The sequence below is a fragment of the Homo sapiens genome, chromosome 19 (genome assembly GCF_000001405.40).
Source record: "Homo sapiens chromosome 19, GRCh38.p14 Primary Assembly".
NCBI lineage: Eukaryota > Metazoa > Chordata > Mammalia > Primates > Hominidae > Homo > Homo sapiens.
The window spans coordinates 38,957,628-38,971,547 of record NC_000019.10 but is presented as its reverse complement, the minus strand read 5'-3'; the positions used below and the strand labels follow the sequence as shown (position 1 = coordinate 38,971,547).

At 45.9% G+C, this 13,920-nt stretch overlaps 1 protein-coding gene across 2 annotated transcripts in view, besides 1 other annotated feature; it reads left to right on the top strand.

The window, feature by feature from the left end:
- FBXO17 (F-box protein 17) overlaps positions 1 to 13,920 on the top strand; it is a 34,342-nt gene that overhangs the window by 4,195 nt on the left and 16,227 nt on the right. The gene's annotated exons all lie outside the window — the stretch shown is intronic.
- Positions 1,235 to 1,445: a silencer, noted in NCBI's record as "fragment chr19:39460743-39460953 (GRCh37/hg19 assembly coordinates)". NCBI's record gives its function as "represses an EF-1alpha promoter that drives an FKBP-Casp9 reporter gene in an ReSE screen in K562 erythroleukemia cells {active_cell/tissue: K562}" and the evidence as "EXISTENCE:reporter gene assay evidence [ECO:0000049][PMID:32094911]".

Genomic DNA, 13,920 nt, shown 5'->3' with positions numbered 1-13,920 from the left:
CCTCTCAAAGTGCTGGGATTACAAGCGTGAGCCACAGCACCCAGTCACCACCCATTTTTCTAGGGATAGATTTGGAACTTGGTATTTTCTTTTTCCTTTTGCAAATTCAACGAATGATCGTGCCAGAGGTTCAGTTTTTGTCCTGCTGTGTTTCGCCTTGTTTTTTCCTAAGCGTGTCTGTCCTTATCCCACATTCTTCTAGTCTCTGATGGCAGCATATGGAGGTGCCCACGTGGACTCCTCCAATCCCATAGCTGGGTGTTTGCTGCTAATCATAGTAACTCCTCACAGTGGCAGCAAACATTTGTCGAGGGCCAGACCCTGATCTCATGAAATTTCCCTACAACCGTGAGGGGCAGGGGTTATTAGAGGTCCATCATCTCTGATCCAAAGCTCTTGGGGCCAGATGCATTTGGGAGTCTAGACTTTGAATTTTTTTTTTTTTTTTTTGAGATGGACTCTCCTTTGTCACCCAGGCTGGAGTGCAGTGTTGTGATCTTGGCTGACTGCCACCTCCACCTCCCAGGTTCAAGCCATTCTCCTGCCTCAGCCTCCCAAGTAGCTGTGATTATAGGCATGCACCACCACACCCAGCTCATTTTTGTATTTTAGTAGAGATGGGTTTCACTATGTTGACCAGGCTGGTCTCGAACTCCTGACCTCAAGTGATCTGCCTGCCTTGACCTCCCAAAGTGCTGGGATTATAGGCGTGAGTCACCATGCCCAGCCTAGACTTTGAATATTAAGCAAGTCATACGGAGCCCATTTGGTATGTTACATAAGTCCCCTAGTAGGGCTGAGGAGCATTTGTGTAATCAAACACTAATAGGCCTTCAGTGAAATGCACGTTCATTCTCAGGGGAGTAACTAAAGACTATACAAAACCTCATGACAGCTCAAGTCAGCTCCTGCCACCAAATGGGTCTGGGAAAAACTGTTGGTTTTCTGAGCTTTTGAACATGTAGATTGTGGATGACAGATGTGGACCTGCATATTTCCCATCTTGCAGAGGGGACATCCTCACACACGAAGAGAGAAAGGGCCAGCCGTGGTGGCTCACGCCTATAATCCCAGCACTTTGGGAGGCTGAGGTGGGCAGATCATTTGAGGTCAGGAGTTCTAGACCAGCCTGGCCAACATGGTGAAACCCCATCTCTACTAAAAACACAAAAATTAGCCAGGCATGGTGGTGTGTGCCTGTGGTCCCAGGTCCAGAAGAGGCTGAGTCAGGAGGATCGATTTAGTCCAGAAATTGGAGGCTGCAGTGAGCTATGATCGTGGCCATGCACTCCAGCCTGGGCAACACAGTGAGACCCTGTCTCAAAAAAAAATTTTTTTTTTTTTTTGCTTTTGATAATCATTCATGTTCTGGGTACTTGTGGCTTATTCCTTATTTTGTATTTGTATTATTTATAATATTTGTATTTGCAATATTTGTATTATTGTGCTATATAGTAGTCCATCTTATCTTATTAATGACTTATTTGTATGTGCTACAGTGGACAGGCATCTGGGACTTTTCCAATCTGAAGCTGTTAGGAACACCACCACCATGAATATTCTTGTATGTGTTTTCTGGCTCTGGGGTGGAGTTGCTGGGTCATGGGGCAGGCACATTTTCATTTTTACTTCAGTAAAAAATGTCCAGTGGGCCAGGCACAATGGCTCATGCCTATAATCCCAGCACTTCGGGAAGCCAAGGCAGGAGGATCACTTGAGCTCAGGAGGTTGAGACCAGCCTGGCCAACGTGGTGAAACCCTGTCTCTACTAAAAATACAAAAATTAGCAGAGCATGGTGGCAGAGTAGCTGTAATCCCAGCTACCTGGGAGTCTGAGGCACAAGAATCACTTGAACCCAGAAGGTGGAGGTTGCAGTGAGTCGAGATCATGCCACTGCACTCCAGCCTGGGCGATAGAGTGAGATTCAGTCTCAAAAAAAAAAAAAAAAAAAAAAAAAAGCCCAGTGGTTTCCAAAGTGATTCCAAATGGATTCCACCAGGAATGTATGGGAGTTCTCTTTGATAGTATTTTTAGTGAATTGCAGTAACATTGCACTGTTTTGTGTTTGCTCATTTTCTTTTTTCTTTTCTTTCTTTTTTTTTTTTTTTGGAGATGGAGTCTCTGTCACCCAGGCTGGAGTGCAGTGGCGGGATCTTGGCTCACTGTAGCCTCAACTTCTGGGCTCAAGCGATCCTCCCACCTCAGCCTCTCTAATAACTGGGACTACACACACACGCCACCATGCCCTGCTAATTTTTTTGTAGAGACGGGGGTCTCACTATGTTGCCCAGGCTCGTCTTGAACTCGTGGGCTCAAGCGATCATCCCACCTTAGCCTCCCAAAGTGCTGGGATTACAGGTGTGAGCCATCGCACCCAGCTGTACATTTGCTTTTACATTGTCAAGGTGGAAACATCTACAGTCTGTTCTGTTTCCATATTTAAGCCCTACATGCTTTAATTGCAAAGTTTGCTGTGTTTTTTTAATCAGCTTTTTTGAGGTGTAATTTACATACCAAAAAATTCAGCCCTGTTAAAGTGGACAACTTTGTGGCTTTTAGTGACTTTACAGAGTTGTGCAACCATCACCACCGTAACAAAGCATGTTCATCACCCCCAAAATATCCCTTGTGCCTATTTGTAGTCACTCTGTTCCCAGCCTAGCCCAAGGCAACTACTAATCTACTTTCTGATCAAAAAGATTTGTCTTTTCTGGTCATTTCATAGAAGCACATCATATAATATGTGTCCTTTTGCATCTGGCCTCTTTCATGTAGCATATTGCTTTGGAGTTTATTCATACTATAGCATGTTTATTCCTTTTTACTGCTTAAAAATATTCTATTTTGTGGACATGGCACATTTTATATATCCATTCATCAGCTAATAGACATTTGGAGTGTTTCCAAATGTATAAAGCTGCTATGAACATTAGCATATGAGAGTTTGCATGGAGGTAGAAGGTGTATTTTCATTTCTCTTGGGTAGATAATCTAGTCGTAGAATTGCTAGGTTTCATATAAGTTTATGTTTAACTTTTTTTTTAATTTTTTTTTTTTTTTAGAGACAGGCTCTTATTCTGTCTCCCAAGCTGGAGGGTGGTGGCGCATTCATAGCTCACTGCAGCCTGGAACTCCTGGACTCAGGGGATCCTCCTACCTCGGCCTCCCAAAGTGCTGACATTACAGGCATGAGCCACTGCACCCAGCCATGTTCAACTTTTTTTTTTGGAGACAGAGTCTTGCTCTGTTGCCCAGGCTAGAGTGCAGTGGTACAGTCTTGGCTCACTGCAACCTCCACCTCCCAGGTTCAAGTGATTCTCCTGCCTTAGCCTCCCGAGTATCTGGGATTACAGGCGCCTACCACCATACCCGGCTAGTTTTTGTGTTTTTAGTAGAGACAGGGTTTCACCATGTTGGCCAGGCTGGTCTCGAACTCTTGACCTCAGGACTCCCAAAGTGCTGGGATTACAGGTATGAGCCACCGAGCCTGGCCTCAACTTTTAAAGAAACTGCCTAATGGTTTTCCAGGTTAGCTGTACATCTTACATCCCCACCAGCGATGCCTGAGGGTTCCAGTTTCTTTATATCCTCGACTACACCTGTCAGTATCGTCAGTTTGAGTAATAGCCAGGGTAGTGGGTATGAAGTGGTGTCTCATTGTGAATTTAATTGGCATTTCCCAGCTGGGCATGGTGGCTCATGCCCATAATCCCAGCACTTTGAGAGGTCAAGGAAGGAGGATCCCTTGATCCCAGGAGTTCAAGACCAGCCTGGGCAATATAGGAAGACCCATCTCTATAGAAAATTCAACAATTAGCTGAATGTGGTGGTGGGTGCATCTGTAGTCCCAGCTACTTGGGAGGCTGAAATGGGAGACTCACTTGAGCCCAGGAGGTTGAGGCTGCAGTGAGCCAAGATCGTGCCACTGCACTCCAGCCTGAGCAACAGAGAAGACCATATCTCAAAAAAAAAAAAAAATTGCATTTTCCTAATGACTAATGAAGTGGAGCATCATTTCATGTGCTCATTACTCATTTGTATATGTTCTTTGGTGAAATGTCTACTCAAATCTTTTGTCTTTCTTTCTTTTTTATTTTTATTTTTTTGAGATGGAGTTTCACTCTTGTTGCCCAGGCTGGAGTGCGATGGCGTGATCTCAGCTCACTGCAACCTCTGCCTCCCAGGTTCAAGCGATTCTCCGGCCTCAGCCTCTTGTGTAGCTAGGATTACAGGCTAATTTTTTGTATTTTTAGTAGAGACAGGGTTTCACCATGTTGGCCAGGCTGGTCTTGAACTCCTGACCTCAGGTGATCCACCTGCCTCAGCCTCCCAAAGTGCTGGGATTACAGGCGTGAGCCACTGTGCCCGGCCTTTTGTCCATTTTTTAACTGGTTTATCTCATTGAGTTTTATGAGTTATTTATATATTCTATACACAAGTGCTTTATCAGATATATAATGTGCAAGTACAAAAGTTTTAACTTATGATAATGTCTAATTTATCCAGTTTTTCTTTTATGAATCATAGTTTTTGGTGTTGGATCTAAAAAATCTCTGCTTAACACAAGATCATGAGATTTTCTCCTGTTTTCTTCTCAAAGTTTTATAGTTTTAACTCTTAAATTTAGATGTATGATTAATTTCATGTTGATTCTGGTATGAGGTAATAGTCTAAATTCATCTTTTTGCATATAGATTTCCAGTTGTCCCAGCACCATTTGTTGAAAAGAGTCTTTTTCCCAAGAAAACCCGTAAGTAAAGCCAATGTAAAGAGAATGCCCCTAGCCTCCAGGTCAAAAGGATTCCTTTTTTGTGAACTTTATCAAATAGCTGTAACACAGATACAGTTTTATGTTTTTCCTAGAATTTCTCATAGCTTTAATTTTTCCATTTTGAAAGAGGCGTTTTTCTGTTAGTAACTCATCCAATCCATTTCTTTGGATTTCTTTTTCTTCTTGTAGACATTCTTCCTTTTATAGTATCCTGTTCTTACTCTGTTTAGAACATCTTTGCAAATCTAAGTGTTCCCAGGACTAGCTACATAATTTGCATGGCCCATTGCAAAATGAAAATGCAAGGTCCCTTGTTCAGAAATAATTAAGAATGTTGAGGCCAGGCTCGGTGGCTGAGGCCTGTAATCCTAGCACTTTGGGAGGCTGAGACGGGAGAATCATTTGAGGCCAGGAGTTTGAGACCAACCTGGGCAACATAGTGAGACCCCATCTCCACACACACACACACACACACACACACAAAATTTTTAATTTAAGAGAATGTTGGCCGGGCATGGTGGCTCATGCCTGTAATCCCAGCACTTTGGGAAGCCGAGGTGGGTGGATCACCTGAGGTCAGGAGTTCGAGACCAGCCTGACTAACATGGTGAAACCCTGTCTCAACTAAAAATACAAAAATTAGCCGGGCGTGGTAGTGCGCACCTGTAGTCCCAGCTACTCGGAAGGCTGAGACAGGAGAATCGCTTGAACCCAGAAGTGGAGGTTGCAGTGAGCCAAGATCACGCCACTGCACTCCTGCCTGGGTGACAGAGTAAGACTCCATCTCAAAAAATAAATAAATAAATAAAAATAAATAAATAAAAAGAATGTTGAGGCTGGGAGCAACGGCTCATGCCTGTAATTCCAGCATTTTGAGAGGCTGAGGTGGGCAGATTGCCTGGGGTCAGGAGTTCAAGACCAGCCTGCCCAACATGGTGAAACCCCGTCTCTACTAAAAATATAAAAATTAGCTGGGAATGGTGGCTCATGCCTGTAATCCCAGCACTTTGGGAGGCTGAGGTGGGTGGATCACCTGAGGTCAGGAGTTCAAGACCAGCCTGGCCAACATGGCGAAACCTCGTCTCTACTAAAAATACAAAAATTAGCCTGGCTTGGTGGTTCGTGCCTGTAATCCCAGCTACTCAGGAGGCTGAGGCTGGAGAACCGCTTGAACCCAGGAGGTGGAGATTGCAGTGAGCTGAGATCATTCTGTTGCACTCCAGCCTGGGCAACAAGAGCAAAACTCCATCTCAAAAATAAATAAAAATAAAAATACTAAAATTAGCCAGATGTGGTGGTGGGCGCCTGTAGTCCCAGTTACTCAGGAGGCTGAGGCACGAGAATCACTTGAACCCAGGAGGCGGAGGTTGCAGTGAGCTGAGATTGTGTCATGCACTCCAGCCTGGGCGACAGAGAGAGACTCCATCTCAAAAAAAAAAAAGAAAAGAAAAAGAATGTTGAGATGGCCACAGTGGAGCATTGAAAAGAGGGTGGGCCACATGTGAACGCACAGGTTGCATGCCCATGAAGCCAGTCCTGAGTGTACCAGTTAGGGTTTTTTCTTTTCCTCCATGTTCTTTTGGTCCTGTGAATTGTCTGTTTCCTCTGGGGTCAGTTCACTTTCCTTCTGCTTGTTTACTTAAATGTTTCTCTTTCAGGCTGCTAGTTTTCTTAAACATCTGATGGTCCTTGCTATCCCGCCACTTTTTCAAACAAGAGGCTGGGTGACTGTGGTTTTTTGTTTGCTTGTTTTTAAGTCACTGGTATGACATTTGGGGCTGTTATAAATACAGTCCTTTCCCACTGGCCTCTTGGTCAAGTTGGATGGATGACTGTGAACTCTGTGTTCTGTGGACAGCACTTGTTCATGTTAGCAGGGACAAAAACAGTCTTTGTGCTGGGAGCTCACTCCCGGATGCCAGATGGGGAGGGCTTTACTCAGTAACACCAGCAGCATCCACACTTCCCAGGGGCTGCATGCAATTTTTTTTTCTTTTCTTTTTTTCTTTGAAATGGGGTCTCACTCTGTCACCCAGGCTGGAGCACAGTGGTGTGATCATAGTTCACTGCAGCCTCCACCTCCTGAGCTCAAGCACTCCTCCCACCTCAGCCTCCCGAGTAGCTGGGACTACAGGCGCTTGCAACCATGTCTGGTTAATTTTATATTTTGTAGAGATGGAGGTCTTGCTATGTTGCCCAGGCTGGTCTGGAACTCCTGGCCTCAAGCAATCCCCCTGCCTCATTCTCCCAAAATGTTGGGATTACAGGCATAAGCCACCATGCCTGGCTAAAATAGTTAAAAATTAATAAGGGATGGGAGGCTGAGGCAGGAGAATCGCTTGAACCTGGGAGGCAGAGGTTGCAGTGAGCCGAGATCACGCCACTGCACTCCAGCCTGGGTGACAGGGTGAGACTCCGTCTCAAACAAACAAACAAAAATTAATAAGGGAGAATCGGGTAGAGGAAAGTATCCTGAAGGTATGAAAAGGAAACCATTCTGTGTAAACTTTTTATAAGATTGACAATACCAATACCAGGTGCTGGCAACTGCAATGCATATAGAATTTTTGGGAATGCAGATGGCACAATCATGCTGGAAAACTGCTGGGCATTTTCTTGTAACGTTAAATATACACCTGCCATGTGACTCAAAAATTCTACTCCTAAGTATCTACTCAAGAGCAATGAAAATGGCTGGACACGATGGCTCACTCTTACAATCCCAGCACTTTGGGAAGCCGAGGCAGGCAGATCACTTGAGGTCAGGTGTTTGAGACCAGCCTGGCCAACATGGTGAAACCCTGTCTCTACTAAAAATACAAAAATTAACTAGGTGTGGTGGCGCACACCTGTAATCCCAGCTACTTGGGAGGCTGAGGCAGGAGAACTGCTTGAACCCGGGAGGTGGATGTTGCAGTGAGCCGAGATTGCACCACTGCACTCCAGCCTTGGTGATAGAACAAGACTCTGTCTCCAAAAAAAAAAAGCAAAGAAAACATATGTCCACACAAACACTTGTACATGAATATTCATAGCAGCCTTATTCATAATACCCCTAAGCTGGAAACAACCCAAATGTCCATCATACTGAGTGGATAAACAGGTTGTAGATTATGTGTTCAGTGGACTATTACCCAGCAATAAAAAGGAATAGACTACTGATTGATACACAACAAGTGGATGGGCCAAGCGCGGTGGCTCATGCCTGTAATCCCAGCAATTTGGGAGGCCAAGCTGGGAAGATCGCTGAGCCCAGGAGTTCAAGGCTAGCCTGGGCAACATAGCAAGACCCTGTCTCAAAAAAAATTTAAAAATTAGCCAGGCATGGTGGGGTGCACCTGTGGTCCCAGCTACTTGGGAGGCTGAGATGGGAGGATTGCTTGAGCCTGGGAGGTCATGGCAGCAGTGAGCTATGATGGCGCCACTGCCCTCCAGCCTGGGCAACAGAGTGAGACCCTGCCTCAAAAAAAAAAAAAAAGTATGAGTGAATCACACGGACATTATGCTGAAGGAGAGGACAAATAACCCTAAGCCATGCCTACAACTCAAGGAATATTACAGGCATGAGCCACTGTGCCTGGCCCAGATGACTTCTTCACAAGGAGACACATACTGTGTGTATCAGTCAGGATCCAACCAGGAGACAAACCACACAGTAATTTAAACAGCGATTGTTTAATATACAGAATTGTTAACTATGATAGGGGATTTGAGTAAGAGGAACTGGTTACTAAGAAATAAAGAGAATGCTAACGAATGTAGAAATAGACTGGGCACAATGGCTCACACCTGTAATCCCAGCACTTTGGGAGGCAAGGCAGGTGGATCACGAGGTCAAGAGATCGAGACCATCCTGGCCAACATGGTGAAACCCCGTCCCTACTACAAAAAGTAGCTGGGCGTGGTGGCGTGTGCCTGTAGTCCCAGCTACTCAAGGAGGCTGAGGCAGGAGAATAGTTTGAACCCAGGAGGCAGAGGTTGCGGTGAGCCGAGATCTTGCCACTGCACTCCAGCCTGGGTGACAGAGAGAGACTCCATCTCAAAAAAAAAAGGAAAGAAAAAGAAAAAAGAAAGAAAGAAATAGCAGATACAAGGAGCAGCCACTCCTCCTAAGTCTAAGATAGCCCGAGAAAGATGAGAGCCCCAGGCTGAGACCCCGACCTTGCTGGAGTAGTCTTGGCCATGGCTCACCGAAGGACAAAGGCATCCCTATGGTGCGGCACCAGTAGAATGCGGCAGAAGTCCATTCAGTAAGATGGTGGGGAGAGCAGCTGACAGGGAAGTGTCTCAGCTGAGGTGGGTGCTGCTGACTGCCATATTTCAGGAGCCATGTGCCAGAGAAACTTCCTGACACTAAAGAAACCGCACGCATGTAGGAGTCAGAGGCTGGAGAAGCATGCTCGCTGCAGGAGTAGCTGCCCTGCAGGAGCCAAGTCTGGAAACTGGAAGCCAAACCCTTTCCTCCTACAACGTCTCTCCAGCGCCCTCTACTGAAAAAAACTTAGCATCATGTCAGTCAGCAAAGGAAGAAGATTTAAAGGGCCAAACTCCAATTATTATTTATTTTTTTTTATTTTTTTTTTTTGAGACGAAGTTTCGCTCTTCTTGTCCAGGCAGGAGGCAGGCGTAAGCCACCGTTCCCGGAGCTTTTTTTTTTTTTTTTTTTTTTAACAGCGTCCCTGGGTGGGCTAGAACCAAACTCCAGTTTCGCAGCTTAGAACAATGAGGTCGTAGGTTGATAGCCGACACTCTATATGATTCCATTTACGTGAAATTATAGAAAAGAAAAATTGAATTTATAGTAACAGAAAGAAGCCGGGCACGGTGGCTCACGCCTGTAATCCCAGCACTTTGGGAGGCCGACGCAGGCGGATCACTTGAGCTCAGGAGTTCAAGACCAGCCTGGCCAACATGGTGAAACCCTGTCTCTACTAAAAATACAGAAATTAGCCGGGTGTGGTGGTGCGCACCTGTAATCCCAGCTACTCCGGAGGCTGAAGTAGAAAAAATCTCTTGAACCCGGAAGGCGGAGGTTGCAGTGAGCCGAAATCGCGCCCCTGCACTCCAGCCTGGAGGACAGAGCAATACTACGTCTCAAAAACAAAACAAAACAAAACAGAATAGTAGTTGACTTTGGGTGGGAGTAGGGAGGTTGGCTGGGAAGGGATAAACCTTTTGGGGCAATAGAAATGTTCCATATCGGCTGGGAGCGGTGGCTCACACCTGTAATCGCAGCACTTTGGGAGGCCGAGTTGGGTGGATCACCTGAGGTCAGGAGTTTGAGACCAGCCTAGCTAACATGTGAAATCCCATCACTACTGAAAATATAAAAATTAGCTGGGTGTGGTGGCGCACGCTTGTAATCTCAGCTACTTGGGAAGCTGAGGCGGAAGGATTGCTTGAACTTGGGAGGAAGAGATTGCAGTGAGCTGAGATCATGCTACTGCACTCCAGCCTGGGTGACAGAGTAAGACGCCATCTCAAAAAAAAAAAGATTTAAAATCAATTGAAATAAAATTGCTACATTTTAAACAGATACAATTAATAAAACTTAACTAATAAAGTAAAAATAATACTTTATAAAATGAACACAGTTAATTGAGGCTGCTGCTGTGTTAGTAAAACCCGTTCAATACAATGAACCTTGAAGATGAAAGTATATTATCTGGGCCATGCGCAGTGGCTCACGCCTGTAATCCCAACACTTTAGGAGGCCAAGGCGGGAGGATCACTTGAGGTCAGGAGTTCGAGACCAGACTGGCCAACACAGTGAAACCCCGTCTCTACTAAAAATACAAAAAATCAGCCTGGCGTGGTGGTGCGCACCTGTGATCCCAGTTACTCAGAAGGCTGAGGCAGGAGAATTGCTTGAACTTGGGAGGCGGAGGTTGCAGTGAGCGGAGATCATGCCGTTGCACTCCAGCCTGGGCGACAGAGCAAGACTCCATATCAAAAAAAAAAAAAAAGTGGCCGGGTGCAGGGGCTCATGCCTGTAGTCCCAGCACTTTGGGAGGCCGAGGCAGGTGGTTCACCTGAGGTCAGGAGTTCAAGACCAGCCTGGCCAACATGTGAAACCCTGTCTTCACTAAAAATACAAAAATTAGCCGGTGTGGGTGGCACGCACCTGTAATCCCAGCTACTCGAGAGGCTGAGGCAGGAGAATCCCTTGAATCTGGGAGGCGGAGGTTACAGTGAGCCGAGATCGTGCCACTGCACTCTAGCCTGGGGGACAGAGCGAGACTCTGTCTCAAAAAAAAGATATTATTTGGTTTGTTTCCGAAAGTAGCTGGACAGACCAGGTGAAAATAGAGAGAAATGTCTAAGGAGCGCCAGCTGTTCGGGTCTCCTCACTTCAGCTGCTAGACTAGGATGGAAGAAGCCTCAGATGACCCAGCCCCATCCACCATCTGACGGCAAAGGCACAAGTTCCCTAAGTGAGGACCGCATAGCTGATCCCAGTCCCCAGAGCCATAAAAAAAAAAAAGGAATAATGGCTTATTATAAATATACTCTGGCAAAATTATACTCTGGACAGACCAAAAACAAACTGGTATCATGATTCACAGAGGTATTTTTTGTGCAGAATTTTCCAGTCAGTATAAAAAGGTCTCTGGCCTCAAAAAAACTATACAATTTGAGAATCTGCTGAGGAGATACTTATAAGCTAACTCTTAATCATTTTCACAGATTCTTCTATTTTAAAATAGTAACATCTTTTGTTTGATGGCTTTGAGGAAAGTTTTTGGACATCTTTTTGTTCCTTTCCATGGACTGCCATATCTGTTTTTCTTGTTTTCATCATTTTTAGCAAACGTTGAGGGTTTTGGGTATGTGTTCTGTTTTGGTAGTGGTGGTGGTGTTTTTTATTTGTTTGTTTTTGGAGACAGAGTCTCACTCTGTCACCCAGGCTGGAATGCAGTAGTGCAATCATAGCTCACTGTACCCTTGAACTCCTGGCCACAAGCAATCCTCTCACCTCAGCCTCCCGAGTATGTGGTACTACAAGTGTACACCACCAGGTCCAGCTAATTTTTTAATGTTTACTTTTTTAGAGATGGGGTTTCACTGTGTTGCCCAGGCTGGTCTCGAACCCCCGGGTTCAAGCGATCCTCCCACCTCAGCCTCCCAAAGTGCTGGGATGACATGCATAAGCCATGGTACCCAGCTCATTTTTAGCAAACCTTTTATAGAAAGTGCACAAATTGCACAGCCTAATGAATCCCAGCACTTTGGGAGGCCAAGGTGGGCTGATCACAAGGTCAAGAGTTCGAGACCAGCCTGGCCAACATGGTGAAATCCCGTCTCTACTAAAAAAAAAAAAATACAAAAATTAGCTAGGCATGGTGGCGTGTGCCTGTAATCCCAGCTACTCTGGAGGCTGAGGCAGGACAATTGCTTGAATCCAGGAGGTGGAGATTGCAGTGGGCCGAGATTGGGCCATTGCACTCCAGCCTGGGCAACAGAGGAAGACTCTGTCTCAAAAAAAAAAAAAGAAAGAAAGAAAGAAAGAAAGACAGGCAGAGGCTGCATACTCTTTTATGATCCAGCCTCAGAAATCCCTTAGCAGGCCGGGCACAGTGGCTCCTACCTATAATCCCAGCACTTTGGGAGGCCAAGGCGACAGGATCACTTGAGCCCAGGAAGAGACCAGCCTGGGCAACATAGGGAGACCCCTCACTTCTAGAAAAAAAAAATATAAAACAAACGAAGCTGGGCATGGTGGCATGTGTCTGCAGTCCCATCTACTCAGGAGGCTGAGTTGGGAGGATCGCTTGAGCCCAGGAGTTCGAGGCTTCAGTGAGCCATAATCACGCCACTACACTCCAACCAGGCGACAGAGTGAGACTTTGTCTCTTAAAAAGAGAGAGAAAGAGAGAGAGAATGAAATCCCTTAGCAATGTCCCTTCTGCAGTGCTCTGAAAGTTGAGGCAGTTGCAAAAGCCTGCACGTGCCCAGGGGAGGAATGTGGACCCCACAGCTTCACGAGCAGTGGTGAACTGAAAAAGCGTGTCAGATAGGAAATGTTCTCATAGCCACTTTTGAAAAATACAGTCTGCTGTAGTAGCATCCTGGGTCCCTTTGGGTAGCTGAGTACCAATAGCATTCCCCGGTCACTCTGACAGCCAGTAACCTTCCTCCAAACACACACTCTCCCAAAAACCCTGGAAGCAGGCAATACTAGGCCCTACTTGTCCTATTGTGACCCAGCTAGTAGTTGGCATTCAATCTTGCAGTGGGTACTTTTCAACCTTTCCCAAAATTGGCCAGAAGCCCCTCTCAGGCTTATTCTCCAAAATAAGCCTGTCTTTGACTGTTGAGCCACTTTTCGTGTTTCTTTCCTCTTTCCTTTTTTTTTTTTTTTTTTTTTTGAGACAGTTTCACTCTTGTTGCCCAGGCTAGAGTGCAGTGGCACAATCTCAGCTTACCACAATCTCCACCTCCTGGGTTCAAGGGATTCTCCCACTAGTCTCCCAAGTAGCTGGGACTACAGGAGCATGCCACCACACCTGGCTAATTTTGTATTTTTAGTAGAGACGGGTTTCACCATGTTGGCTAGGCTGCTCTCAAACCCCTAACCTCAGGTGATCCACCCACCTTGGTCTCCCAAAGTGCTGAGATTACAGGCATGAGCCACTGTGACTGGCCACAAACTTTTTTTTTTTTTTTTTTGAGGCAGGATCTCACTCTATTGCCTGGGCTGGAATACAGTGGCCCCTTCACGATTCACCACAGCCTCAACCTCCCTGGCTCAGGTGATCCTTCTCCCCTCAGCTCCCAAGTAGCTGGGACTACAGGTGCATGACACTATGCCTGACTAATTTTTTTGTATTTCTTTTGTAGAGAGAGGGTTTCGTCATGTTGCCTAGGCTGGTCTTGGACTCCTGGGCTCAAGCAATCCTCCCGCCTCCACCTCCCAAAGTGCTGGAATTACAGGCGTAAGCCACCACACTGGGGCCCCATACAAGCATTTAATATGGTTTGTGTGGATAGCTGAGGGCTCATTCAGTACATTTCTTGAACATCTCTGCTCCTTGGTGAAGTCTGGCTGCCCTTGTTGGGCGAGGGGCCTACCCCTAGCCCCAGAGATCCTCCTTTTGCCAGTGGGAACACACTCCTAAGAAGAACAGGAACTGCCGGGCGCAGTGGC